At 49.6% G+C, this 26,372-nt stretch overlaps 8 annotated features.

Moving 5' to 3' along the window:
• Positions 1,254 to 2,016: an enhancer, noted in NCBI's record as "H3K4me1 hESC enhancer chr11:69214023-69214785 (GRCh37/hg19 assembly coordinates)". NCBI's record gives its function as "activates a minimal SCP1, AML or CMV promoter by ChIP-STARR-seq in naive H9 embryonic stem cells {active_cell/tissue: H9 hESC(naive)}" and the evidence as "EXISTENCE:reporter gene assay evidence [ECO:0000049][PMID:30033119]".
• Positions 2,717 to 3,217: an enhancer, noted in NCBI's record as "H3K4me1 hESC enhancer chr11:69215486-69215986 (GRCh37/hg19 assembly coordinates)". NCBI's record gives its function as "activates a minimal SCP1, AML or CMV promoter by ChIP-STARR-seq in primed H9 embryonic stem cells {active_cell/tissue: H9 hESC(primed)}" and the evidence as "EXISTENCE:reporter gene assay evidence [ECO:0000049][PMID:30033119]".
• Positions 3,489 to 4,124: a transcriptional cis regulatory region, noted in NCBI's record as "candidate enhancer chr11.3768 targeted for multiplex CRISPR interference". NCBI's record gives its function as "positively regulates MYEOV gene expression with high confidence in K562 cells {active_cell/tissue: K562}" and the evidence as "EXISTENCE:mutant phenotype evidence [ECO:0000015][PMID:30612741]".
• Positions 11,827 to 12,586: a transcriptional cis regulatory region, noted in NCBI's record as "candidate enhancer chr11.3769 targeted for multiplex CRISPR interference". NCBI's record gives its function as "positively regulates CCND1 and MYEOV gene expression with high confidence in K562 cells {active_cell/tissue: K562}" and the evidence as "EXISTENCE:mutant phenotype evidence [ECO:0000015][PMID:30612741]".
• Positions 21,388 to 21,963: an enhancer, noted in NCBI's record as "H3K27ac-H3K4me1 hESC enhancer chr11:69234157-69234732 (GRCh37/hg19 assembly coordinates)". NCBI's record gives its function as "activates a minimal SCP1, AML or CMV promoter by ChIP-STARR-seq in primed H9 embryonic stem cells {active_cell/tissue: H9 hESC(primed)}" and the evidence as "EXISTENCE:reporter gene assay evidence [ECO:0000049][PMID:30033119]".
• Positions 22,538 to 23,112: an enhancer, noted in NCBI's record as "H3K27ac-H3K4me1 hESC enhancer chr11:69235307-69235881 (GRCh37/hg19 assembly coordinates)". NCBI's record gives its function as "activates a minimal SCP1, AML or CMV promoter by ChIP-STARR-seq in primed H9 embryonic stem cells {active_cell/tissue: H9 hESC(primed)}" and the evidence as "EXISTENCE:reporter gene assay evidence [ECO:0000049][PMID:30033119]".
• Positions 22,672 to 22,816: an enhancer, noted in NCBI's record as "145 bp enhancer 149 fragment used in the MPRA reporter construct; PK_construct_3358". NCBI's record gives its function as "activates an SV40 promoter by MPRA in HepG2 cells {active_cell/tissue: HepG2}" and the evidence as "EXISTENCE:reporter gene assay evidence [ECO:0000049][PMID:23512712]".
• Positions 22,739 to 22,749: a transcriptional cis regulatory region, noted in NCBI's record as "NFE2L2 motif; enhancer activity is reduced when this motif is scrambled". NCBI's record gives its function as "necessary for full MPRA enhancer 149 activity {active_cell/tissue: HepG2}" and the evidence as "EXISTENCE:site-directed mutagenesis evidence [ECO:0005528][PMID:23512712]".

The following is a 26,372-nucleotide window of genomic DNA, read 5'->3' on the forward strand; positions in this document are numbered from 1 at the left end:
GGGGAGATCTTGCAGGGTATTAAATTGATACAGTCACATTTAGTGGCTTAGACATCCCTCTGACCACAGTCTGACCTGTCATCTGGGGGTAAGAATGGCCGTAAAACCCTCACTCCCCAGTCATTGTGATGTGGTTGCCTTGGAATCCCTCCTCAGAATTCCCTCCTCAAGATCCCTCTCAAGATCCCTCCTCAGGATCCCTCCTCAGGATCCCTTCTCAGGATTCCCTCCTTAGGATCCCTCCTTAAGGTCCCTCCTCAGAATCTCCTCCTCAAGATTCCTCCTCAGGATCCCTCCTCAGAATCCCCTCCTCAAGATTTCGCCTCAGGATCCCTCCTCAGAATCCCCTCTTCAAGATTCCTCCTCAGGATCCCCACTCAGGATCCCTCTTCAAGATTCCTCAGGATTCCCTCCTCGGGATCCCTCTTCAGGATCCCTCCTCAGAATCTCTCCTAATGATTCCCTCCTCAGGATCCCTCCTCAGGATTCCTCCTCAGGACCCCCTCCCTCAGGATTCCCCCCTAGGATCTCTCCTCAGGGCTCCCTCTCAGGAAGCCAGCATGTCCAGTTGGTTTCATCTGGAAACCAACCCCATTGCTAGGCCTGACTTAGAAGGACATGCAAGTGACAGAAACAGCAAACTCATTATGAAAGGGATGGGGGAGGAGGAAGAGGAGGAAGCGACGAGGACAGGAGGAAGGAGGCAGCGCCCTGAGGACAGCCGAGGCTGAGGGCCCTGTGGAGTCTGGGAAGCCTAGAGAGCGGAGCAGCTGGGGCGCTGTCCTCAGCCCAGCTGTGGGTGCAAGACCACCGGGGGCCTGCAGAGCCCCCAGAAGCATGCTTGTGTGGGGGTGGCCAGAGAAGGGACATGAAGAGCGAGGGGGTCCACATCGGGGGGGCTCAGTAGGGCGTAGGGTGTGGGGTGGGTGTGGTGAGCAAGACAGAGGCCACAGTGGGGACCAGGAAGGGGGCTCTGGGCAGCAGGATGTGGGGGGGCCCGGGGCAAATGCTGACTCCGGGATCCCTGGGCACCAGCAGCCACGCCAGCCACCCCACCCCTCACGTGCCCACAGCAGGCTGGGCACGGGCAGCACCGAGCTGTGCTGTGTACCACACTGAGATGTTTAAATGACGGGGTAAATGCACTCTCCCCCTCCCTCCTGCTGCCAGCATTCCTGAGGCCGGGCCTGGGTTTTGGTTACCAGGCAGCCGAGGAGCCAGAGGGCACCCCCGCAAGGCAGCCTGAGCCAGAAACTGCTGACGGCTCTTTTTCTGCAGCAGCAATTTAGCAAGTCCCAACTGGTGACCTCGGTTAGCAACAAGGAACGTGGAAAATACTCACCATCGTGGATGACTGTGGGCCGACGTGCATGTGCATGCGTGTGCATGTGTGCATGTGTGTGTAGGGGTATTGCGTGTCTGTGAGTCAGCCTGTGTGCTGTGTGAGTTGGTCAAGGGCACCCATGTGAGTTGATGAGCATGCACACCCACATGGGAGCACACACGTCTTTGCCCGTGTGCACTGGGGCATGGGCCTGTGTTTGCAGGGCGTGTGCCTCGTGTGGCCTGCAGCTACAGTTTGGTGTGCACCTGAGCTAACATGCCCAGGCACCTGTCAGGGCACAGGTCTCTCTGTGGATATCTGGGAACATACATGTGTGCACGTGTGTACTTGCACAGACACTCTGTGTGTGGGTGTGGGTGCCTGGGCGAGTCTGTGTGCTTTTGTGTCTGGGCATGTGAGAATATCTGTGTGTGCTTTCACATGAGTGGTGCGTGTGTTTGAGGAAACGCCCTGCTCTCACCAGAGTCCCCATGTGGGGCACAGGACCCAGCATACGGAGGGGACACGGGAGGCACTAGAATGTGGAGGGACATTAGTCAGGGTTTTCCAGAGAAACAGAATCAATAGGGTGTGTGTATATAGAGGAGAATTATATTGAAGAACTGGCTCACACAGTGATGGAGGCCAGTGAGTTCCAGGCTCTGCCATCAGGAAGCTGGAGGCCCAGGAGGGCCTGTGGTGTGGTTCCAGTCCAGAGGCTGGTGGGCTCTAAACCCAGGAGGAGCCCACGGTTTAGTTTGAATCTGAAGGCAGGAAAAGACCAGTGGCCCAGCTCAGGGAGGCAGGAGAATCCCCACTGGCCTGGGGGAGGGTGGGCCCCTGTGTTCTCTACAGGCCCTGGATGGATGGGGTGAGGCCCATCCCTGGGAGTGGGGGTAGGGGGGCACACTGCTTATTCCATCTACACATCGTTGTGCTAATCACATCCAGAAACACCCTCACAGACACACCCAGAATCATTTGACCCAATATCTGGGCACCCTGTGGCCCAATCAAGTTGACACATACAGTTAACCATCATAGGTAGGAAGATGGCTGGATGGGTGAGTGGGTGGATAAACGGGTGGATGGGTGGGTGAGTTGGAGGCAGTTCCAGGGAGGTCTGTACCCACTGGGCTCCCTGAGGCAGAGAAGGGATGGTAGGAAGAACAGGTCCATCTGGGGAGTACAAGAGGAATTTGCCTTATTATCATTCTGAGAGAAACCCCCAAACTGGAGAAAATTCTAGATCTGTGTAACATGGTCAGTAGCTCACCCCATGTAGCAAGAAAAGGACCAGAAATGCCACTGTCTTCTCTGAGACAGGAGCATGCATGATGCAGCTGCCCACACCCCACCCCACCCCAGAGCCCTGCCTAGTGGGTCCTCAAACTGCACTATGCTTCCTTCAGTTCCCCAGGAGCCAAAACCCTCTTCGCCTCCAGATCTTTGCCTCTTTCCCCCACCCTGACCCTTCCCTTCCTGTGGCTGCTTCCCCGTGATCCTTTGGGTTATAGCGGGAACAACTCCCTCTCCTCCTGCCCACCCCCACCGGTTCTCAGGCTGGGTGGGTGCCCTCCCTGGGGGCCGCCCCTGCCCTCTCCTGGCACTGCAGGATGGTGAGGGGTCCAGGGCCCGACAGTGTGCTCAGGTTCCAGGCCTGCCCCATCCTGAGCCAGCAGCACCCCATGCCGCCGTTTCCTTGTTTGTGACAAGTCACTCGCAGTGTTGCCTGGAAGATCCCCTGAGTCACACGTGAAATGTGTTCAGCACAGGGCCTAGGAGAAAGCAAAGTCGTGGAAAATGCCGGCAATTCCCACGGTCATGACTGCGGTCCTTCCCATGCTGCATTTCCACACAAGGTGAGGTGCTGTGTCCTCCAGGCCTGGCACTCTACGTGGCTCCTTTGAGGGTAGAGTCCCCTCAGAGGCGGCAGGGACTGAGTGAAGCGACCTGTCTTGCCTCTGTCCTGGCCTTGCTTGCACCCCATTTTCCTGGAGGCTGCCAAGCAGAAGCTGCAGGTGTTCCCTGCTGGCACAGGCGCCTGGGAGGCTGTTGGCCCTCGGAGCAGGTGCCAGGCCCTGTGGTTGGGATCAGGGATGAGCTCCGTGTCAGGGTAACATGAACTTCCTAGGAGCCTTCATCCAGAGGAGGGAGCCTCAGCAGGCAGCGGGCACCTCAGACCTGCCAAGTCAGAGAAAAGAGAGATTCAGAGAGAGACCGAGAGTGAGACAGAAACAGAGACAGGATGCGAGAAGGAGAGATGACACTGGAAACACAAAAACCAAGTAAGTCAGAGCCCGGAATGCGGAGAGGCAGGGCTGGAGGGGAAGGGACAAGGGAGGGGGAGGAGCAGGTGACACACATGCCCACAGCCAAAGGGGCATGGCCTGTCCACTGGGAATCCCACCCGATTCCCACCTGCCAAGAGAATGCCAGTGAGGGCTCTAAGAGGGACAGCAAAAATCCACTCTTGAGGCCTTTTGCAGTAGATAAAGTAGGTCCACTTCCAGGACCTCCTGTTGTGAGACAGAAAGTGAGATAGCAGGAGGTGTTGGCAGGAGGATAGAAAAACCCAAAAAGCTGAAACAGGAACTAGGCGAAGAAACCACAAGATAACAGAAAACCCAAAATAAGGGAGAGAAAACGGCCTGAGCCACAGCGGTCAGGGTGATATATCCAGGACTCTTCCAGGCAAACCCAAATTAGAGAGAAAGAGGGCAGTAACCAGGGGGCGTCCCTGAAATCCCCTCTTTTTCCAGAACACCTGATGATTCCACCCTTTAATTAAAGAAACGTCCACAAAATTAGAAACTCAAACTTCTCATGAGTACACTGTGCTTCCCTCTTGAGTGTGTACTTTGGATTTGCAATAAAAGCTCCTTGCCTTTCGCTTCACCTGACTTGTCTCTAAATTCTTTCTTGTGATGGTGTCAATAACCTGGAAACTGGCTGGGGCTGGGGTTTCACCAGCATCCAGAGACCCTGATAAGTCTCCCAGCAACAGTCTGGGCAGGTGAATTTATCACCTTGACTGGAAAGGCAGAGACCCAAGCCTAGAAGGCAGAGGGCCTTGCCTGAGGTCTCCCTGTGGCAGCAGAAGCTGAACGCTGAGCCCCATCTTCTCACACAGAGTGGATGCCGTCCAGGCCATGGGGACTGCAGAGCTACCTGGCTGTGAGGTCCCTAGGCTCTGGGACTTGAACTGCCATGACTCCAAGAACCCTCCACATGAGAACAGTGGGGAAGAGGAAGCCAGGCATGGCGGAGGATGGCTCTGACCTTAGAGTTTCAGTCAACAGTAAGCTCAAAATGAACCAACAATGTCACGTGTCTGCCAAAGAGGTGGTGTGGAATGGGAGATTACAGTAACAGAAGATGAGACACCAGGTTAAAGACTTGAGAGCCCTCCCATAGCTCTGTGCTGAGAGGAGCAAAGATAGCTGGGTCTTGTTGTGGGGCTAGCATAGCAAGGACATTCAGAAACCCCATGCTACTTCCACCAGAAGGACTATACTGACAAAGGCCAACTAAACCAAGTGTTGGAGACAATATGGAGCAACTGGAATGCTCACATTCAGCTGGCGAGAGTAAGTGGCGCTCCCACAGTAGAGAAAGGTTTGGTGGTCTCTACAAAGCTGCAACATGCCTAATGATGTGGTTTGGCTGTGTCCCTACCTAAATCTCATCTTCAGTTGTAGCTCCCACAATTCCCACATGTTGTGAGAAGGACCCAATGGGAGGTAATTGAATCATGGGGATGGGTCTTTCCTGTGCTATGCTCATGATAGTAAATAAGTCTCACCAGATTTGATGGTTTTATAAAGGGGAGTTTCCCTACACAAGTTCTCTTCTCTTGTCTGCTGCCATGTGAGATGTGCCTTTCATCTTCCACCATGATTGTGAGGCTTCCCCAGCCAGGTAGAACTGTGAGTCCATTAAACCTCTTTCTTTTGTAAATTGCCCAGTCTCAGGTATATCTTTATCAGCAGCGTGAAAACAGACTAATTCACCTACCCTATGTCTCAGCTACTTCACCCCTCGGTAAACACGCAAGAAACACACATATATGTGTCCCAAAAGACATATATGAGAATGTTCTTAACATAAAAAGCCCATCAGTAGTGGAATGGATAAATGGTGGTATCTTCATATGATGATGAATCTGATCAATGATGATGAATGGACTATGTTACACATAACGTCATAGATGAATCTCACTGATACCATGTTCAGTGAAAGAAGCTAGGCACAAAAGAGCACATTCTGCATGATCACATTAAGTCGAGTTCAAAACAGGCAAAACTCATCTGTGGCGACAGAAGCCAGGCTGGTGGCTCCCTTGCAGGGTGCGATGACTGGAAAGGATGCTGGGCTTCTGGGGAGGATTCTGGTCAACCTCTGTCTCAAGCTGTAAACTTCGATTTGTGTACTTTTCTGTCTGTGAGTCATGCCCTTCAATAAAGCATGTGCTATAAAAATAGCAGAACAGGAGCTATGAGGAAGATTTGGAGGAATTCGGGGTGGATGGTCTGGGGACGAGGCCTCTTGGGGGATGTCATACTGTCTTTGAGCATCTGGAGGTGAGTCCCATGAAAGGACATTCACTTTTGTCTTCACAACTCCATGGAGGAGAACAGGCCCCACAGTTGGAGCTGGTGGGGTCAGGGAGATGCAGGGAGACTGACTTGGGGAAGTAGGAGAAGAACTTTCTGGTATGCAGAACTTTCCAAAGAGAAGCCATCCGTGGCTCCCTGTCAAGCTTCAGCTGTGTGCTCCCCTGTAGGGGCTGTGAACATCCGAGGCCCCCCCACAAGCCCAGGTGCAATGACCTCCACTTAGTCTGTGCTTCCTGCTAAGAGGTCCTTGTCACATAGTGAGGACCCTAAATTTCCCAGCCAGGGCAGCAGAGCTCAGGGGTCCAGATGGCCCTGCGTCCAACCCTGCCCAGCTTCTCTGCTAATAACCATTATTATCACAAGGAGAGCACCAGCACAGGTGGTACATTTCATGTCTTGTGCTGAGACATTGCTTCAAACCCACCAGTTTATAACCTTTGGCTGTTGCAGGCACATGCTTGAAGCAGAAGGCGGGAGGGAGGAGCTTGAACCAACAGCCTCCTTTCATTATTATTATTATTTTGGGGGAACAATCCATTCCTGTAACAGATTTACTTCTACTTTTTATTGTGGTAAAATACACATAAAATCATATTTATTATTTTAATCATTTGTGAGTGTACAATTCAGTGTCATTAAATACATTCACAGTGTTGTATGATCATTACCATCATCAATCTTCAGAAAGTTTTCATCTTCCCAAAAGGAAACTCTGTACCCATAAAACAATAATCTTCCTCTCCCCCTCCTCCAGCCCTAGTAACCTGTATTCTACTTTCTGTTTATGAATTTGCCTATCACAGGCACCTCATATTTGTGGAGTCATATGGTATTTGTCCTTCTGTATTTGGCTTATTTCACTTGATATATATATATATATATATATATATATATATATATATATATATAATTTTTATTTTTTTTAAGAAGGAGTCTCACTCTGTTGCCCAGGCTGGAGTGCAGTGGCGTGATCTCGGCTCATGACAACTTCTGCTTCCTGGGTTCAAGTGATCCTCCTACCTCAGCCTCCCGAGTAGCTGGGACTACAGGTGTGCTCCACCAAGCCTGGCTAATTTTTGTATTTTTAGTAGAAACGGGGTTTTACGGTGTTGGCCGGGCTGGTCTCAAACCCCTGACCTCAGGTGATTCACCCGCCTTAGCCTCCCAAAGACTGTTGCCATAATGTTTTTCAGGTCCATTCATGTTGCAGCATGTATCAAAATTTCATGTATTTTCATAGTTTTCATAGTTGAATAATATTCCATTGTCTGGATGTATTATACTTTGTTTATCCATTCATCTGTTGATGAACACTTAGGTCGATCCCACCTTTTGGCTCTGAATAATGTTACTGTGAACACTGGTGTGCTTTCAGTTCTTTTGAGTACGTATCTAGGCATGAAATTGCTGGGTCATATTTAGTTCTATGTCTAAGTTTTTGAGGAACCACCAAACTGCACAAAGCTTCCAGTTTCTCCACACCCTCACCAACATTTGCTATTTTCCTTTTTTTTTCCTTCAAGTAATAGCCACCCTAGTAAGCATGAGGTGGTATCTCATTGTGGTTTTGATTTGAATTTCCCTAATGACTTTTCCTATGCCTGTTGGCTATTTGTATATCTTCTTTTTTTTTTTTTTTTTTTTTTTTGAGATGGAGTCTCGCTCTGTCGCCCAGCCTAGAATGCAGTGGCGCCATCTCGGTTCACTGCAAGCTCCGCCTCCCGGGTTCACGCCATTCTCCTGCCTCAGCTTCCTGAGTAGCTGGGACTACAGGCGCCCACCACTACGCCCAGCTAATTTTTTGTATTTTTAGTGGAGACAGGGTTTCACCGTGTTAGCCAGGATGGTCTTGATCTCCTGGCCTTGTGATCTGCCCATCTCAGCCTCCCAAAGTGCTGGGATTACAGGCTTGAGCCACCGCGCCCGGCCATCTTCTTTAAAGAAATGTCTCTTTGTGTCCTTTGCCCATTTTGAATTGCATTGTTGGTTTTTATTGTTGTTGAGTTGTAGGGGTTGTTTATGTATTCTGGATATTAATCTCTTCTCAGATATACAATTTGCAAACATTTTCTTCCATTCTGTAGATTGTCTTTTCACAGTGTGTGTCATTTTTTTGCTTCATTTTGTTTTTAGAGATAGCATCTCTCTCTGTCACCCAGGCTGCAGTGCAGTGGTGTGATCATAGCTCACTGCAGCCTCAAACCTCTGGGTTCAAGCAATCCTCCTACCTCAGGCTCCTGAGTAGCTGGGACTACCAGTGCACTCCACCACACCTGGCTAATTTGCTAATTTTTTTTGTAGAGTTAGGGTCTCACTACATTGCCCAGGCTGTTCTCAAACTCCTGGCATCAAGCAATCCTCCTGCTTCAGCCTCTCAAAGTATTGGAGTTACAGATGTGAGCCCTACACCGAGCCTTTTTCACGTTTTAAATAATGTCCTTTGATGCAAAAAAAAATCTTAATTTTGATGAATTCCAATTTATCTATCTCATTTCTTTCGTTGTTTGTGCTTTTGATGTCATACCTATGAAGTTGTTATAAAATCCAGTGTTAAAAAGATTTTTCCAGTGTTTTCTAACTAAGAGTTGTATGGTTTTAGCTCTTCAGTTTAGGTCTTTGATCCTAGTTAACTTTTGTATATAGTGCAAGGTAAAAGTCCAATTTCATTCTTCTGTATGTGAATAGCCAGTTTTCCCAACACCATTTATTGAAAAACCTATTCTTTCCCCATTTGAGTGGTCTTGGTACTCTTGTCAAAAATCAATTGATCATATATGTGAGGGTTCATTTCTGAGCTATCTATTCTATTTCATCAGTCTATATGTCTGTTCTTATGCTAGTACCATACTCTTAATTAATGTAACTTTCTAGTAATTTTTTTGAAGTTGGGAAATGTGTGTTCTCCAACTTTATTCTTTTTCAAAGTAATTTTGACAGTTTGGGGCACCTTGCAATTTATACACATTTCAAGATTGGATTTTCCATTTCTGTGAAAAAGGCTCTTGGAATTTTGATAGGAATTATGTTGTATCTATAGAACATTTTGGATAGTATTGACATCTTAACAATGTTAAATCTTTCTATCTGTGAACATGGGATGTCTTTTCATTTATTTAGATATCCTTTCATTCTGTTCAGCAGTGTTTTGTAGTTTTTAGCATGAAAGTCTTTCATTTCTTTGGCTAGGTATTTTCCTAAGTATTTAATTATTTTAAATGCTATTATATATGGAATTGCTTTCTTAATTTTCTTTTCAGATTATTCATTGCTGGTGTATAGAAACGCAACAGACTTTTGTGTGCTGATGTTTTGCCATGCAGCTTTGATGAATTCATTTATTAGCCTAGTCACTTTCTTGTGTATTCTTTGGAATTTTCTTTATAAAAGATTATGAGGCCAGGTGCAGTGTCTCACAGCTATAATCCCAATACTTTGGGAGGCCAAGGCAGGAGGATTGCTTGAGCCTAGGAGTTTGAGACCACCCTGGTCAACATAGTGAGACCTTAGCTCTATACTTTTTTTTTAAATAACCAAGTATTGTGGAACACACCTTTAGTCCCAGCTGCTTGGAAGGCTGAGGTGGGAGGATCGCTTCAGCCCAGGACTTTGAGGCTCCAATGAGATATGATTGTGCCACAACACTCCAGCCTGGGTAACAGAGCAAGACCCTGTCTCTATAATTAATGAAGGAAGCAAAGGGGAGGTGAGGGGAGGGGAGGGGATGTCATCTGTGAATATGGATAGTTTTACCTCTTCCTTCCCAATTTGGATGCCTGTTATTACTTTTTCTTGCTGAATGGCTCTGGCTAGAACTGCCAGTACAATGTTAAATAGAAATGGCAAAGGGGATATCTTTAGCTTGTTCCTGATCTCAGTGGGAAAGCTTTCACCCCTTCACCATTGAATATGATGTTAGCTATAGATTTTCCATAAATACCCTTTATCACGTTGAGAAGTTTTCCCTTTATTCCTAGTTCACTTAGATTTTTATCATAAAAGGTGCTGAGTGTTTTCAAATGCCTCTTCCACATCAACTGTGATGATCATGTGGGGTTTTTATTTTCCCTTCATTCTATTATTTTTTTATTTATTGGACTTAGGATCTCACTCTGTCATCCAGGCTGGAGTGCGGTGGCACAATCAGAGCTCACTGCAGTCTCAAACTCTTAAGCCCGAGTGATCCCCTCATCTCAGCTTCCCAAGTTGTTGGGATTACAGGCACACACCACCAAGCCTGGCTAATTAAAAAGAAAACAAAACTGTAGAGATGAGGTCTCGCTATTTTTTCCAGACCGGTCTTGAAATCCTGGCTTCAAGCAATCCTCTCATCTTGGCCTTCCAAAGTGTTGGGATTACAGGTGTGAGCCACTGTGCTCAGCCCCTTCATTCTCCTAATGATCAATTATACTGGTTGATTTTCTTGTGCTGAATCACCTTGCTTTCTTGAGATAACTCCCACTTGGCCATGGTGAATAATCTTTTTAATACGTTATAGAATTTGGTTAGTTAATATTTTGTTGAGGATTTTTGCATTTGTATTCCTGAGTGGTATTGGTCTGTAGTTTTCTTTTCTTATGATGTCCTTGTCCGGCTTTGGCGTGAGAGTAACGCTGACCTCATGGAACGAGTTAAGAAATGTTCTGTCTTCTGCACTTTCCTGGAAGAGTTTGAGAAGAATTGGTATTAATTCTTCTTTAAATGTTTGGTAGAATTCACTCCTGAAGCCATCAGGTCCAGGGCTTTCTTTGTTGGGAGGCTTTTGATTAATGATTCATGCTTCTTACTAATTGTAGGCCTATTAGATTGCTATTTCTTCTTGAGTCAGGTTAGGTAACTTGTGTGTTTCTAGGAATTTGTCCATTTCTTCTAGGTTATCTAATTTGTTGGTGCTCAGTTGTCCATAGTATTTATTATCTTATCATCCTTTCATCCCTGTAAGGTTGGTAGTATTGTCTCCACTTTCTAATTTTAGCTATTTGTGTCCTACCCTTATTCTGGAGATAAATAACTTGGTCATTACCCACTAACTATACTGAAAACACAGTTCTCCCCTGAACTGAGCCAGGTGAAAGTTATTCCCATCCCACGCCTGCCCAGGGCTTCCATGAGCAGTTTCCATTTCTGTCCTCCCGCCAGCTCCAGGCATCTCTGCTAGTACTTGTTGATGACCTTGGGTTGAACCTGCCTCATCTGGACCCCTATCTGCCCCAATGAGGGGGTTGGGGGGCCCTGGCCTTCCTCACACCTGTGTTCTATTTCCAAGATGGAGAGTGGGGCCCCATTCCTGGGGATACCCACCTTGTGGAGGGGCAGGAGAGGGACTCTCTTCCTGAGGAAGCCCTGCTTAGAGCTCCACAGGATTCTCTGCCACCCCCAGCACATCCTTCTGCAATGCCCCTTTACAAAGCGTCATAGTCATGTGGGGTGAGAAGGGCTTATTCAGGCAGGAATCCACTGTCTCTCCACTGTCCCAAGGAGGACAGACCTGTGAATCTTTGGGATGGTGGGGGAAGTAAAATGCTTGTTCTTCTCAGGAGTTACTACATAATCGTTCAAACCACTCCAAATGCAAGAACTGGGCATTACAGTATCATTGGCTTTCTTGGTGGGGCCAAAAGCCATGTATTTCCAGACATTTAACTTGTAAGATGGGGAACTCTGGAGTCCAAAGACCCCTCCTCACATAACCCTGAGCCCCTCCCTGCCTCTCCTTGGCTATCACTCCCTCCCACCATAGCACCTTAGGTGGGGACTCACAGGGACCTGACAAAATGCCCGCAACGGCACCTGCTATGCACACACTAATTTAGCGTGTTGCGAAGGTGGCATTTTAATCCTTAGGGAAGATGGGACGGTCTAATTAGGGGTCCGGGATCCGTTAAAGCGAAGTCCCAGTCTCATCACTGATTCCAGAATGAATTCCTGGGGCCTCTGCCCACAGAGCACCTCCCTGCCCCTCGCCTGGAACACTGATCCGCAACCACTGTGTGCTTCAACCAGACCCTCCTCAAGTGTCTCAAGTGTCTCTGCTTGAACGAGACTTCCCCTCCCCACTCTCCTTCCCACGTCTAAAATGTCCCACATCCTGCCCCACCCAGCTCTGTCCCCTGCCTGGCTTCATGCCCTCCCCGCTGCTGAGCTTATCTCATCCTCCCATGGTTGGTTGATTCTTCTTTCACTATCAAGCTCATCCACTGCTGAATCCTCAGTCTTGGCACTGGGAATGAATGAATGAATGAATGAATGAATGAATGAATGAGCAAACCCAGGGACACATGAGTAGTTGGAAAATATAGAACCATATAAAAGCTAGGACAAATGTGTGTCCTCATGTAAAAGCTAGGACAAATGGGGGGACCCATTTACAGATAGGAATGAGACCACAGGAGCATGCACACCTAAGGTATACTGTCCCGTCACCCTCCCACCCCATCACACCCGCCATCAGCCCTCCCACCCCCGCCAAAGGCTCCAGTCCTGGGCGTCTCCTGCCAGTGCAGAAAGGGGGCTGTCTGACTCTACAGCTGCAGCCTCCTGTCTGGGTGACGCCACACCTGTGGGATCAGAGGAGGAAGGGTCTGGACATTGCCAAGGCTGTGGCCTTCTCTGTCTAGGTGGTGGTCCAGGGTCCTCTGAACTACTGGGCTGTGACATCCACACAGTGTCTGCTGAGCTGGGCCACCTTCTGCAGAGAGAGAGCAGAGCACCCCCTTTCTGTAGGCTTTGCTGAACATTCTAGGGTGGGATCACCCTACAGGCCATTTCTGTCCCCCAGATACCCCCTCACCGAAGCCTCCCCCAGTGAAGCAGGTACAAGCCTGAGGGCCGCAGGTTCACCACTTCTCCCTGCAACGAAAAACGCCACATTCCAGCTGAGGTGCTGCTGGGCCCCAGCTGCAGAAACAGAAATGCACAGTTAACCAAGCTCTAGTTAAGAAAGATCTTTCTGAACTTAAAAAAGAACAAAATAAGATCAAGACCATCCTGGCCAACATGGTGAAGCCCTGTCTCTACTCAAAATACAAAAATTAGCCAGGTGTGGTCGTGGGCACCTGTAGTCCCAGCTACTCAGGAGGCTGAGGCAGGAGAATCCCTTGAACCTGGGAGGCAGAGGTTGCAGTGAGCCGAGATCACGTCACTGTACTCCAGCCTGGCGACAGAGCAAGACTGTCAAAAAAAAAAGAACAAAATAATAGTGACCAAAAAGAAGTTCAAGACATTTGATCATGAAATAAAAGTCTCTATATTAAGAAAAAAACCAAACTGATTACTCAAAAGACACTGCTAAAATACCACAACGCAGAAAACAAAAGATTAATATATTGTTATATATAAAAAGCGCTTAAAAATCAACAAGACCAATGACCACTAGATGACTGACTAAAAGCTACATAGGAATTTCATGAGCAAAATACAAATGGTTGATAATCCTATTTTTAAAAAGGTGTTTGTTCTCACTAGTAAGCAAAGAAATGTGATTTGCAGCCATTATAGACAAAATATCCTTACTCAGCAGTGTTGATGGCCGTATTCTCTTACAACGTTGGTGGGAATATAATTGCTACCAGCTTTCTGGAGGACAGTTTGGCACTATGCAGCTAGACTTCATATCTAACTTCTAAGAATGACTCTAAAAAACCCTTCTGCATGTGTGCAAAGACCTGTGTGCAAGTAGGAACATCACAGCACTTCCTGTAATGCGTAAAAGCTGGAAACAGCAAAAACAGGTCATTGATGAAACATCTGCTCTATAAAACATTATTCAGCCATTAAAAATCATGTTTCAAAAATGACTTAACACTATGGGGAAATAATCACGGTCTGTTAAGTGAAATGCAGGAGACAAAACTGGTACCGCAATATGATACTGATTACATAAAATGAAACGTCTGCATACGCATAACAAATATACCACAGTGAAGCATACCAGCCTGTAAACACAGACACTGAGCAGTTTCCAATGCTCCAAATTTTTCAAGTTTTCTACAATAAGCATGAGCTATGGTGAACTTTTTCTTTTTGTTTGTTTGTTTCTTTCTTTTGAGACAGATTCTTGCTCTGTCACCCAGGCTGAGTGCAGTGGCACTCAAAGCTCGCTGCAGCCTCCACCTTCTGAGCCAAGCGATCCTCCAACCTCAGCCTCCCATGTAGCTGGGACTACAGGAGCGCACCACCACACTCAGCTAATTTATTTTTATTTTTTGTAGAGATGGGGACTTGCTGTGTTGCCCAGACTGGTCTTGAACTCCTGGACTCAAGTAGTCCTCCTGCCTCGGCCTCCCAAAGTGCTGGGATTAAAGGCGTGAGACACTGCACCCGGCCAAAGGTCTTGTTATTATTATCTTTTTGAAGGCTATTTAACAACACAGGGCTGGGCTTATGATAAGACATTTAACGAACCAAATATCATACGAGATAGACAGATAGATTAATAGGTTACCTCTGTGTGGAGTAACAGGCCATTTCAATTTTTAAATGATCCTCTGGCTGGCAGCAGAGCTGGGGAGCGCAAGGCGGTGCTCATTAATAGCAGTTGGGGCCGGGCGCGGTGGCTCACGCCTGTAATCCCAGCACTTTGGGAGGCTGAGGTGGGCGGATCACGAGGTCAGGAGATTGAGACCATCCTGGCTAACACGGTGAAACCCCGTCTCTACTAAAATACAAAAAATTAGCTGGGCGTGGTGGCAGGCGCCTGTAGTCCCAGCTACTCTACTCGGGAGGCTGAGGCAGGAGAATGGCATGAACCCAGGAGGTGGAGCTTGCAGTGAGCCGAGATCTCGCCACTGCACTCCAGCCTGGGTGACAGAGCAAGACTCCATCTCAAAAAAAAAAAAAAAAAAAAAATAGTTGGCTGACTGAATGAATGACTGAATGAATGAACGAGTACTTTGCTGTACTTCCTGGATTTCCTACACTGAAGTGTAGTAAAGAAAAAAGATTTTTAATATAAAGAAGAAGGCACTCCCCGAACTCATCAATAACCCTGTGTGCAATGTTAAGGGCCCATCCTCTTGCTTTCCTCAGAAACACAGAGGCACCTCCCATAGGAATCAACGTGTAAAATTTGCAAACCCTTTAATCCAGAAATCCTCCCTCCAGGAACTTAGCCCACAGCGCTATTCGCATGCGTGTTAAAGGACACGTGTCCAAGGTGGCTCCGTACAGAGTCGCTGATAAGAGGAGAACTGGGAACAGCACTCACGTCCATCAACATGAGAATGGTCCCTAAAATGATGATGCAACCATGCAGGGGATGCTGCCAGGCAATGGAGATTATGCCCTGCTTTCTGTTTTTATTGACATGCAAAGATGACCTCGCTGTACCAATCTGTGAGCAAAACAGGTTTCAGGAAAGCAGGTCTAGAACAATCCCATTTTTTAAGCAGCCAATGTATATCTCCATGTGTCTCTAGGCATGGGCAGCTGCCCACGGGGTCACCTCTAGCCCTCCAAGTAGTGTTGGGTGGTGATGGCCGTGTTCTCCCCTGCACACATGGCATGGGTTGCCAGCTTGGTCGTACCCATTGCACCACTCTACTGGCCTCACCCCTGCCCAGTAGAGACCAGCAGCTCCTTCCACAGAGACAGCATGAGGCCCAGAGAGGGAGTGTGTGACTCCAAGTCAGATTTCCCAATACCTGCATGCTCTTACCTCGGCCCTAAGGCAGGCCCAGAGGTGATGTGAGGATTCACAACCAGACACTGGAACACTGAGATATTTTTTAAAAATGTGTTTGGGCCGGGCGTGGCAGCTCAAACCTGTAATTCCAGCACTTTGGGAGGCCGAGGCAGGTAGATCACCTGAGGTCAAGAGTTCAAGACCAGCCTGGCCAACCTGGCAAAACCCCGTCTCTACTAAAAAATACAAAAATTAGCTGGGCATGGTGGTGGGCATCTGTAATCCCAGCTACTAAGGAGGCTGAGGCAGGAGAATCGCTTGAACCTAGGAGGCGGAGGCTGCAGTGAGCCGAGATGTCACCACTGTACTCCAGCCTGGGTGACAGAAAGACTCCATCTCAAAAAAAAAAAAAAAAAAATGTGTTTGGTATGGTTTCATTTGGCTGTGTCCCTACCCAAATCTCATCTTGAATTGTAGCTCCCATAATTCCCATGTGTCATGGGAGGTACCTGGTGGGAGGCAATCGAATCATGGAGGCAGGTCTTTCCTGTGCTGTTTTTGTGATAGTGAGTAAATCTCACAAGATCCAATGATTTTATAAAGGGGAGTGGGAGTTTCCCTGCACGCACTCTCTTGTCTGCTGCCATGTAAGATGTGCTTTTGCTCCTCCTTGCCTTCCACCATGATGGTGAGGCCTCTGCAGCCACGTGCAACTGTGAGTCCATTAAACCTCCTTCCTTTATAAATTACCCAGTATCAGGTATTGTCTTTATTAGCAGCGTGAGAACAGACTAATACAGTACACTACAATTTAGACTTCTAGTGACTATACCTGGAGCCCCCTGTTCTCCACCTCTCTCTCACAGGTACACACACAACCATCCACTTATTGAAGAGGATGAGCAAGGGCACAGCCTCAAGCCCACTGCCTGTGTTTGAATTCTGAGTGGTTTGCTAACTATGTAGATTTGGGCAAATCACTTAAAACTCGTTTTCTTGTCTGAAAAATTGATAGTAAAGGTGCTTACCTTGCGGGCTATTGCAAAGGACAAAATAAAGTCTAGTATGTGTATTTGTTCGTCACTGCATTTCCAGAGCCTAGAACAGGGCCTGGTGTGCAGTAGGTGCACAATGCGTGTCCGTGGAACCAGCAGCAGGCCCTCTACCTGCCTGCCAGTGCAGGCACTGGTCAGTCACCATGACAAAGCTGATCTGCCTGCCCCTCACACACTTGCTCCCCAATCCCTTCACTTGGTGACAGCCTTCCCCGACACCCTTGGGCGCCCGGCCCCTGGGACGCCTGTGGAGCTGTTGGGGAGAAGGAAATCTGAGGCCCCCACATCCTGACCCAGGACCAGCTGGCCTTGCGGATTCCAGAACTTTCTGAAGCAGCCAGCCGGCCACCAGCCAGGAAGCGGAAGGTGCAGAAATAGAAACGCACAGAGAGGCAATTGCTCCTTTTGCCCTGCAAGGAAGGGAAGCCGGGGGAGAGGGGCCAGGAGAGGAAGCTGAGGGGCAGAGGAGAGGATGGGGAGGCCAAGGACGGCGGGATGGGGTTCCAGAGCTTGCCGGACCTCGGCCCCCGCCTGCTCCCATGTCCAGTGCCCTGGGTCAGGGCTGTGGGGAGCAGCTTTCAACACCTTCATTTTCCTGACAAGATCCCAAAATGAGGAGCTCTGATTTGCTCTGAATGCGACTTGAAGCCAGGCCCCGGGGAAAGTATTTGTGGCAACTTTCAAGGGTTGATGCTGTGGCTGGCAGCAGAGGTGGGGGGCAGGAGGGGGGTGCTCACAATGGTCGTTGGCTGACTGACTGACTGAATGAATGAATGAATGAGTGAGTGAGTTGTGGCCAGCCCTATACCCCAGCAGAGCCACTGGGCTTGAGGACAGGACCCTGCCTGCTGGCCACGTACCTAGACAGCCACAGACAGAAAACACGCTTAGCAGGCTGCACTGAGGCGGAGAAATGAGATCTGGCCCCAGCTCAGCTCTGCTGCATCCCAGGTCATCCGAGGATGTCACTGGCCTTCTCAGCCTCACACCCCTTCCTCCCAGTCTGGGGTGAGACCCTCACACTCCACAGAGCGTCAATGGGAGCCCAGGGCGAGCCTGGCTGGTACTGGCCTACTGAGACCTGGGCTTTTCCTGTATTCTCCCACGCAGAGTATAGCAGGAGGCCCCCCAAAAGTGTCCTCTAGTCCAGACTCCCCCACTGCAGCCAGCCTACATTCTAGAGCTGACATGGGCCAAGACCAGGAAGGAAGGGCCACCTTCCCTGAAGGACACTGACTCCTCAACCCCTGTGCTCAGCCGACCTTGCGAAGTTGGAAACACACTGCCCTCCTAGGCTGAGCTGAGCCCTTCCCAGCTCGCAGCCCAGCGGGTCCCTGAGGTCCCATAGAGGGGGCTGGCAGTGGCTTCTTCCAGGCAGGGCCCCAATGCCCACCACCCACCTTGGAAGGTCTGGCTGGAGGGGTCTCTGAGGACAGGGACCATGACAAGGTTCCCCTTGCCTCCCCCATGCTATGGCCCTGGCCCTCCTGCAGAGCCCACGGTCCTGGCAGGGGCCACACAGGATCCCTGCACCCGTGGCCCAACCACAGGCTCGGCCACCATGCACACGGCACAAGCATCTGCTCCCTGGCCTTCCTGACAGGCAGCGGGCGCCCTGGCACTGGCGGGCGGGCAGGCGGCGTGTGCAGGTTGGGGCCGCCCAGGGGCAGGAGTGCAGGCCTGCAGTTGACAAGGCCTGGTTTCCTGCTCTCACTCTGGGGAGGAAGAGGAAGATGACAAGCAAACCAGTGCTTGTCAAGGAGTCATCTAAACACGCACTCAGAGGCCACTTCCAAAGACCGCCCTGAGGCAGTCCAGGGTCCATCGCCGACCACCCTCCCCAAAAAAGAATGACATCAGCCAGGTGACAGCAGCAGGCAGGTACAGATGGGGTCCTCTAGGGATGGCAGATTGCCAGGGAGCCTGGTCACCCTTCCCTAAGGGTCAACTCAGTTTCTCAGCCATGGACCAAGGTGCCCCTTTGTCCTGTGAACTTTGAGAAGCAGAGGGCCCTTCTCTTTGGAGTCTGAGAGAAGCCCAGGAGAAGAAGGAATGAAACCCTGCACATCTCATCTTCTTAAAATGCAGATTCAGGCCTGTTTTTCCAAGTCCATCACCAAACACAAGGTCTTTCCAAATTAGGTGCTGAGCTGAGCTCATATTCCCAAAATGCACACTCCCCTCCTTTTTTTTTTTTTTTTGCTTGGGAATGCTAAAAAATAAAAAGTTATATGACGTGTCTTTTTAAATAGCACACACTTTTCCGCTAATCAAGAAAAATCGAGCCTGTGTTTTGCTGAAGTGATGTGATTTTTTTCCCCCTCATTTTATTGTGCAAAGGAATTCGAGTCAGGCGGCCACATCCAGAGGCAGGAAGGGTGTATAGAAAGTTCAAAATTAGCAATTCCCTGGACTCCCTTTCAGATGCAAGGGCGAAAACGGACTTGGTCTGAGAGCTACGTTTTCCTCCTTGGAATCTAGGAGGTTTCATTAGTAGGAGTTCCTTTTTTATGGCCTTGTTTTCCTGCAAGTTAAAAGAAGAGGGTTTGATTTCACCTCGGCAGGTCGCTGAGGGTCTGAGCCTCCAGTGAGCCTTCTCACGTGTCCACTGCCCTGATCAATGTATTGGCTTCAGAAAGAACAAACAAGCCAAGCCCGTCACAGGTGATTTATAGCATCTGCGCCTGATGGGTGGTCATGATTCATGGCACTTCATTAAACCTGAGCGCAGCCGCTTCCTCTGCACCCGCCACTGGGGACAGGCCACCCTCCCTCCTGGTTACTGGCCCCCTCTGAGCCCCAGACAAAAGGGCCTCTCACTTGCTTACATATTTTCCCACATGTGAGCCAGCAATTGGAAACTTCCTCCCGATAACTGCAAACCTCGGAGCTGGAATTTATGAGAAGGGGCTTCGGGTGACGTCGGCGGCCTGGGCACACCCAGGCGCACAAGGCAGGCCTTTCATGAGGAGCTGCCCGGGCGGCGTGGCTGAGCTGATGAGAAGTGTCCCCAAGACCCACCTGCAGATCCAGCGGGCCAGCTGCCACTTGGGCAGGAAGGGGCTCTGGGCAGCCCTGGGCCACAGGACAATAGTCAGGTGGCAGGAACGACAGTCAGTGTGGTTTCTGTCCCTGTGTAAGCTGCCCACTGTGTGGATTTGAGAGGGGCAGGGGGCACGGTGTTACAGACACACCCTGCTGCTGGGGCAGCCTGCTAAAATTCTCCCAGGGATACGCCTGTCCATACCTGGTTACCTGGGTCACTCTGTCTTCTGCCTGGGAGAGGCGGGGAGGACGTGGGAACCCGCTGGCTGAGACATCAAGCTGGAATTGTCCCACCTGTGTGCTGCAGGACTGGGGATGCTATAGGATTCTGTCTCCCAGAACAGCAGCCACCAGTCATCCGTGGCCTCCAAGCACTTGCAACGTGGCTGGTCTGCTTCAAGATGCCCTGGAAGAACAAAATACACCCCAGATTTTGAAGACTTAGTAGGAAAAAGGGGATGTGAAAGACTTCACTAATAATCACAACGGCGAATGCATGTTGTCATCATATGTTGGATATATTGGGTTAAATAAAACATATTATTAAAATGTATTTCACCTGTCCTGTTCACTTTTTAAAATGTGGCCACCACTTGCTATGTACCCACAGAAATTAAAAATTGAATTTTTTTTTTTTGAAACAGAGTCTCGCTTTGTTGCCCAGGCTGGAGTGCAATGGCGTGATCTCAGCTCACTGCAACCTCCGCCTCCCGGGTTCCAGCAATTCTCCTGCCTCAGCCTCCTGAGTAGCTGGAATTACAGGCGTGCGCCACCACACCCAGTTAATTTTTGTATTTTCAGTAGAGAGAGGGGTTTCGTCATGTTGGCCAGGCTGGTCTCAAACTCCTAACCTCAGGTGATCCATCTGCCTCGGCCTCCTAAAGGGCTGGGATTATAGGCGTGAGCCACCACACCCAGCCAATTTTTTTTGTTTAATGTGACCATTAGAAAGTTAAAAATTATAGGTGAGGCTGACATAGTCTTCCTATTGCACAGTGCTGGCCGAAGGGGAGCCAGTCCCGGGCTGAGGTCCTCATCTGTTTCCTACCCTGACTCCCAGGGCAGGTCCGGCTCTGCTGGGGGGCCTGTCTGCCACAGGACTTGATGAGGAGGGGAAAGACTGGCACCCACCAAGCACTTTCGACATGTCAGGCACTGGGCTAGGCGCTTGGCCTCGATATTCTTATTTAAGTTGCATAACAACCCGGTAAGACAAGGACTACTACTGCGCCATTTTACAGACAAGGAAATTGAGGCTGGTTGAGGTGAATCAACTTGTGCAAAGTCCCAGAATCTCCACCCGGGCAGTATTGCCTGAGCTCTTGCTCAGCCAACAAGCCCCACTACCCCCACACACCCATGGGCCTCTTGCAACAACACCTTCCCCACATAGGGTCATGGGGAGCCTGAAGTGTGCGGGGGCAGTGGAGGGCATCTTTCTGAGGGCATCCTGCCCCTGAAGCCCAAGGAGGAATCACCCTCACGGCTCACCGAGAAGGATTGGCAACCCTCAGTCTTGTGGACTGAAGACTCATTTCGGAGCCACTCCAGGGTTGAGGCAGAGTGTGCTCCCAAGGGGTGGTTGTGCCCTGGCTCACGGCCCTGAACACAGTAGGTCTTCAACTAATACAGCAGGAAGAAATGGTGCCAGGACAGCTCTCCACGTTGGAAGTTCTTCCTTGTTAGCCCAAGCCAGGCTCCTTTGAGGATATCATTCAGATTATTACTTTGCTTGGGGCAGGGTCCCAGGCACAGCTCCGGGCATGGGTGCAGGGATCACACTGGACACACCAGATTCAGACCCTTCCAGAGCCCCTTCCCTGCTGCAGGGGGCAGAAAAGAACAGATAAGCGATGGTGCATAGTGGGGCAGCAGCTACCCCCAGACTTAAGAAGAGGACCAGGACATTTTTCGGGTTTCTGGTCAATTAAATGGAACGCCAAGCAGAGTCATGTTCTCAGCATCTATGTTTAACAAATCTATACTTCAAATGCACACCCTCTCTGCTGAAAGAACACAGTCCCATCGAAGTATTTTTGCCTGATGGGAGGGATTAGAATTTCCGTGGCAACATTACATCACTTTAGACCAAAGCGACAGTGTCTGGGAAGACAGAGCTGGTTCTGCACGTACCTCCGCTCCACAGTCACGGACACTGAGGTGCTCAGGGGTCGGCGCTCAGGATCACTGGGCAGCCGTACGTGTCCCAGGCAGCGGGAGCCCCGGCAGTGCCAGCTCCCACACCATCCGGCTGTGACAACCTCAGGTCCTTGATGACAGGGAGCCTCTGCCAAGACGGTCCGAAAATTGGGAAGGGGACCCGCTCATCTTTGTGGGGTCCCCAAGAGCTTCAGATAAGTTTGCTGAGCACCGGCTTCCTGATCACATTTCACATTTGACCAAACGATGTTCCTCTGCAGCCTCCCTCCCTTGGTCCCCAAATTGGCAGCACTTTCTAGAAGCTAGATGCAGAGGATGTCCTTTGTCAAGGGAAAAAGAAGTGTTTCCTTTGGGATAAAAGGACACACACACGAGTGTTTATGCACATGCAGATACGTCTGCCTCTCTCTATGGACATGTATAGAGATTTGGTTGTTTATGCATAAAATATCCCTGCATGGATACCCAGGAAACTGGTAATGTCAGTTGCCTTTAGGGAGGAAAACTAGGGGTCTGGGAGTCTTAAGTAGGAGAATTTTTTAACCATATTTTATATTTTTTTAAATTGTTCTACTCTGAGAAAATTTGAAAGTGTATAAAAAGCAAGCTCTGAGCCCCTTGTCTTCAACCCCGGGGCCTCTCTTGCCTGAAGTCCTGCCATGAAGATGAATCTCTGCCTGTACCCAGTTCCGTCAGGGTCCTGCTAAGGGGTGAGCAGAGGACACCACACCGAGGGGCCACCCATTGTCTCCCAACCTCGGTTCCCAGGACTCCCGTCCCCACGGGCCCTCTAGACTCTGTGAGGCTGTGATTCTGGGCAGGGTGAAGCCGGACATGCCGCAGGGCCGATGCCGGCCGTTGTGGAACCAGCCCTGGAATCTCAAAAATGTCCTGTGGTCAGGCCTGAGCTTTGTTAGTGACTCAGCAGAAAGCACCCAGCCCTGGCCCCGTGGCAGGTAGGCCAGCCCCAACCTGGGGTGCAGCCTCAGGCCTCCAGCGTCCAGAGCCCAGGCCTGTGGGGATGTGGGCCCAGTGGGTGAGTGGCCACTGTCCAGACCCTCTGTCTCAGCGAGGCATCAAAGGCTGGCAGAGTTGGCTGCTGGGGGAGCCCCTGGATGGGGCCAGAGCCCCGGCTCTGGGCTGAACTGTGTCCTGACCTGCTGACTGACTTCCAAGGCCTCAGTTTCCCCATTCACAGGAGAAGACCAACTGCATGTAAGCAGAAGCCTGACATTAGAAATGCAGCTGTTCTGTGATGCAGGTGGCGTGCTTGTCAAAGGAGGTTGACAAGCCTCCCAGGCTGCGTGGCCACAGGCAGCCTCCATGCCCTGGAGCCCCAGTTTCTCCTCCATGAAATGAGGCTAATAAGACTTCCTCCAGGCCGGGAACCGTGGCTCATGCCTGTAATCCCAGCACTTTGGGAGGCCGAGGCAGGCATATCACTTGAGGTCAGGAGTTCGAGACCAGCCTGGCCAACATGGTGAAACCCCATCTCTACTAAAAATACAAAAATCAGCCAGACATGGTGGGACGCACCTGTAATCCCAGCTACTCGGGAGGCTGAGGCAGGAGAATCGCTTGAACCCAGGAGGCAGAGGTTGCGGTGAGCCGAGATTGTGGCAGTGCACTCCAGCCTGGGTGACATAGTGAGACTCTGTCTCAAAAAAAAAAAAGACTCCCTCCAGTATCCGTGCTTGGGATGATTAAATGAGACAGTGCAGTCTTTAAGACATCAGCTGCCGCCAGCACCTTGAGGCTGCTGAATACCACCTGTCCCATCACTGACACGATGCTTCCACTCTGCTTATTTTCTTAAATAAATGTACTTTTACTGGCTACTTGATAGCACTGCCATATGTGGTGGATCAACGTCACTTGCCATAAATAGATTACACATTAAAAGTCACCCTTCACAATAGGGCTAAAACCCAGCCATCTGTGTCCCACCCCAAATCAGCTCACACAGCCCCAGATTTGGGGACACAGTGAGATGAAGACATAAGTAACAAGCTTCGTATGCAATGATGGTAGAAAGGCAGGCAGAGGCGACACGATTTGCTCATTTAATTCTGCAAGCTTGGTGTTAGGGTTCACTTATGGCTGCCTTTCTTTTCTTTCTTTTCTTTCTTTCTTTCTTTCTTTCTTTCTTTCTTTCTTTCTTTCTTTCTTTCTCTCTCTTTCTTTCTTCTTTCTTTCTCTCTCTCTCTCTTTCTTTCTTTCTCTCTCTTTCTTCCTTCCTTTCTTTTCTTTTTTTTTTTTTGACAGAGTCTTGCTCTGTCACCCAGGCTGGAGTGCAGTGGCGTGATCTCGGCTGACCCCAAACTCCGCCTCCCAGGTTCAAGCGATTCTCCTGCCTCAGCCTCTGGAGTAGCTGGGACTTCAGGCGTGCGCCACCACGCCCACTTAATTTTTTGCATTTTTAGTAGAGATGGGGTTTCACTATGTTGTCCAGGCTGGTCTCAAACTCCTAAGCTCAGGCGATCTGCTTGTCTCAGCCTCCCAAAGTGCTAGGATTACAGGCGTGAGCCACCACGCCTGGCCTGCCTTTCTTATTAGGGGATTTTTAAAATTCCAGTTAAAATCAGCAAAGTCCAGAGAGAGGTGTTCTACACCTTCATGTTAACAAAATTATTTTAAAATGAGAAAAGCAGGTGCTGGGGAGGATGTGATGAAGCCAACGCTCACGCAGGCATCAGCAGGTTCACACGTGTGAAGCACGCATGTGCTCAGGAAGGGTTGGTTAGCATGATTATCATATCCTGTCGGTGGTAACTATAAACTGGATCAGGACCGAGGGAAAACAGTACAGAAATAACAACTACTGAGCCAGGGCCATGAAAATGTACGCAGCCCCAAAGCTAATGATTCTAGGCCTAAACACTGATCCCAAGGAAATAGTCTCCCCGCCCCATGTAACGAGGCCCCTGCTGAGACAGACCTGCTGATCGTCGTCGTCCACGTCCTGTTATTTCAATGCTCGTCGCTCACCCTGCCCCAGCCCACCGAAACTCCCGCATTTCCCCACCAGTCAAGCTCTCGTGTTGGGGGCTTTGCGCTTTCTTGAAGCAACTTCCCCAACCCTGGCATCCAGGTTTTCCCTCCGGCACCCCTCCACCCCTGCTCAGACCGCCCCCCTCAGGAAGGTCAGAGCTGGCCCTGGTATCCACAGAGGCACCTGCCCAATCCCCCCGCACTCCTTTGCCTGTGTGTTTTTCTCCAGAGCACTTATGCCCACCCAACATGGTCCATCTCATGGTTACTTACTGTTTATTTGGTTTATTGTTCATCTCCCTGAACTACAGAATGTCAGCTCCTGAGGATGGTGACTTGTTCACCGCTGCACCCTCAGCACCCAAAGGAGAATCTGGCGGTCAGGAAATGCTCGGTGGATGTTTGTTGAATGAATAAATGATGCTGACAATGGAGACCGTCCAAACGTCTAAGCCAGTTAGCGTGCAGACACTCAACCCACCATGTGGAAACATGGGAACCCACTGAGAGGGAAAGGCAGAGGTGGACGTGCACCTGCGGCGATTAATTAAATCCACGTGAATGTGTTCACAACCTTTGCAAGGAGCACAGACACAGGGCGTGAGAGGACAGAGGACACATTCTCCCTTTCTGTCGCCGAGATCTGAGCAGCCCAGGGTGAAACTATCCACTCAGCAAGACCTTACAAGAAAATCAAACAGCCCATGCACTGCTTTGATCTGCGTCCTTGCTGGCAGGAGGGCTGGGACTGGCCAGGCCTGGCTCTGGTCAGCCACCCCATTGGCAGGACCCTGCCAGTGGCCTGCCGTGTGTCTCTGTGTCCTGGGTCTCTCAGTGGTGTGGCAGTCCTCGGCTGGATGGCATCCAAAGTCCTTTCCATTTCCAACCAGGTTGAACAGCGTAGGTGGCTTCCTTTGAGTTGAGTCGCCTGGCCAGGGTAAGACAGCGGTGAGGGCCCAGCCAGGTCCCATCTGTAAGTCGGAAGCAGGTGGGAGGGTGAAATTCCTGGCCCAGCCCTGGGGTGAGTCTCCTTACGGATGCACCAAATGGAACAAGCCATGAGAACTGCCATGCAATGGTTGGGGTCCTTCGGGGAGAACTGCCGTAAACACCTGCTTGGGATCTAAAGCAGACTGTGGGTCTCGGGTGAACAGAAGGCATGCCTCTCACTCTGCCTCGAGCATGTGCAAGCTTCAGGATCTTCACAGTGACACTAGGGACGGGGACCTTTGGAATAGTATTATGAGACCTGAAAAAAATAACATGTGGGTGTCAGACCCATGCCAGGGCTGAGTGGATCATTAGATAATCATTATCATCATTTTTGTCATTGTTATCTCCATCCTGGCAACTCCAACTGGATGCTCTTATTATTAATATTATTTTGCATTGAGTATTAATTATTAATATTATTAACTGACTAATATTAATTATGTAAACATTATTATGCATTGTTAATATTATTAATATTCATATTTATTATTAATATTATTTTGCAAGGACAAATGATAATTGTATATTAATATTATTTTGCATTGACAAATGGTGATTGTATGTTA

The sequence above is a fragment of the Homo sapiens genome, chromosome 11, assembly GCF_000001405.40.
Source record: "Homo sapiens chromosome 11, GRCh38.p14 Primary Assembly".
Taxonomy (NCBI): domain Eukaryota; kingdom Metazoa; phylum Chordata; class Mammalia; order Primates; family Hominidae; genus Homo; species Homo sapiens.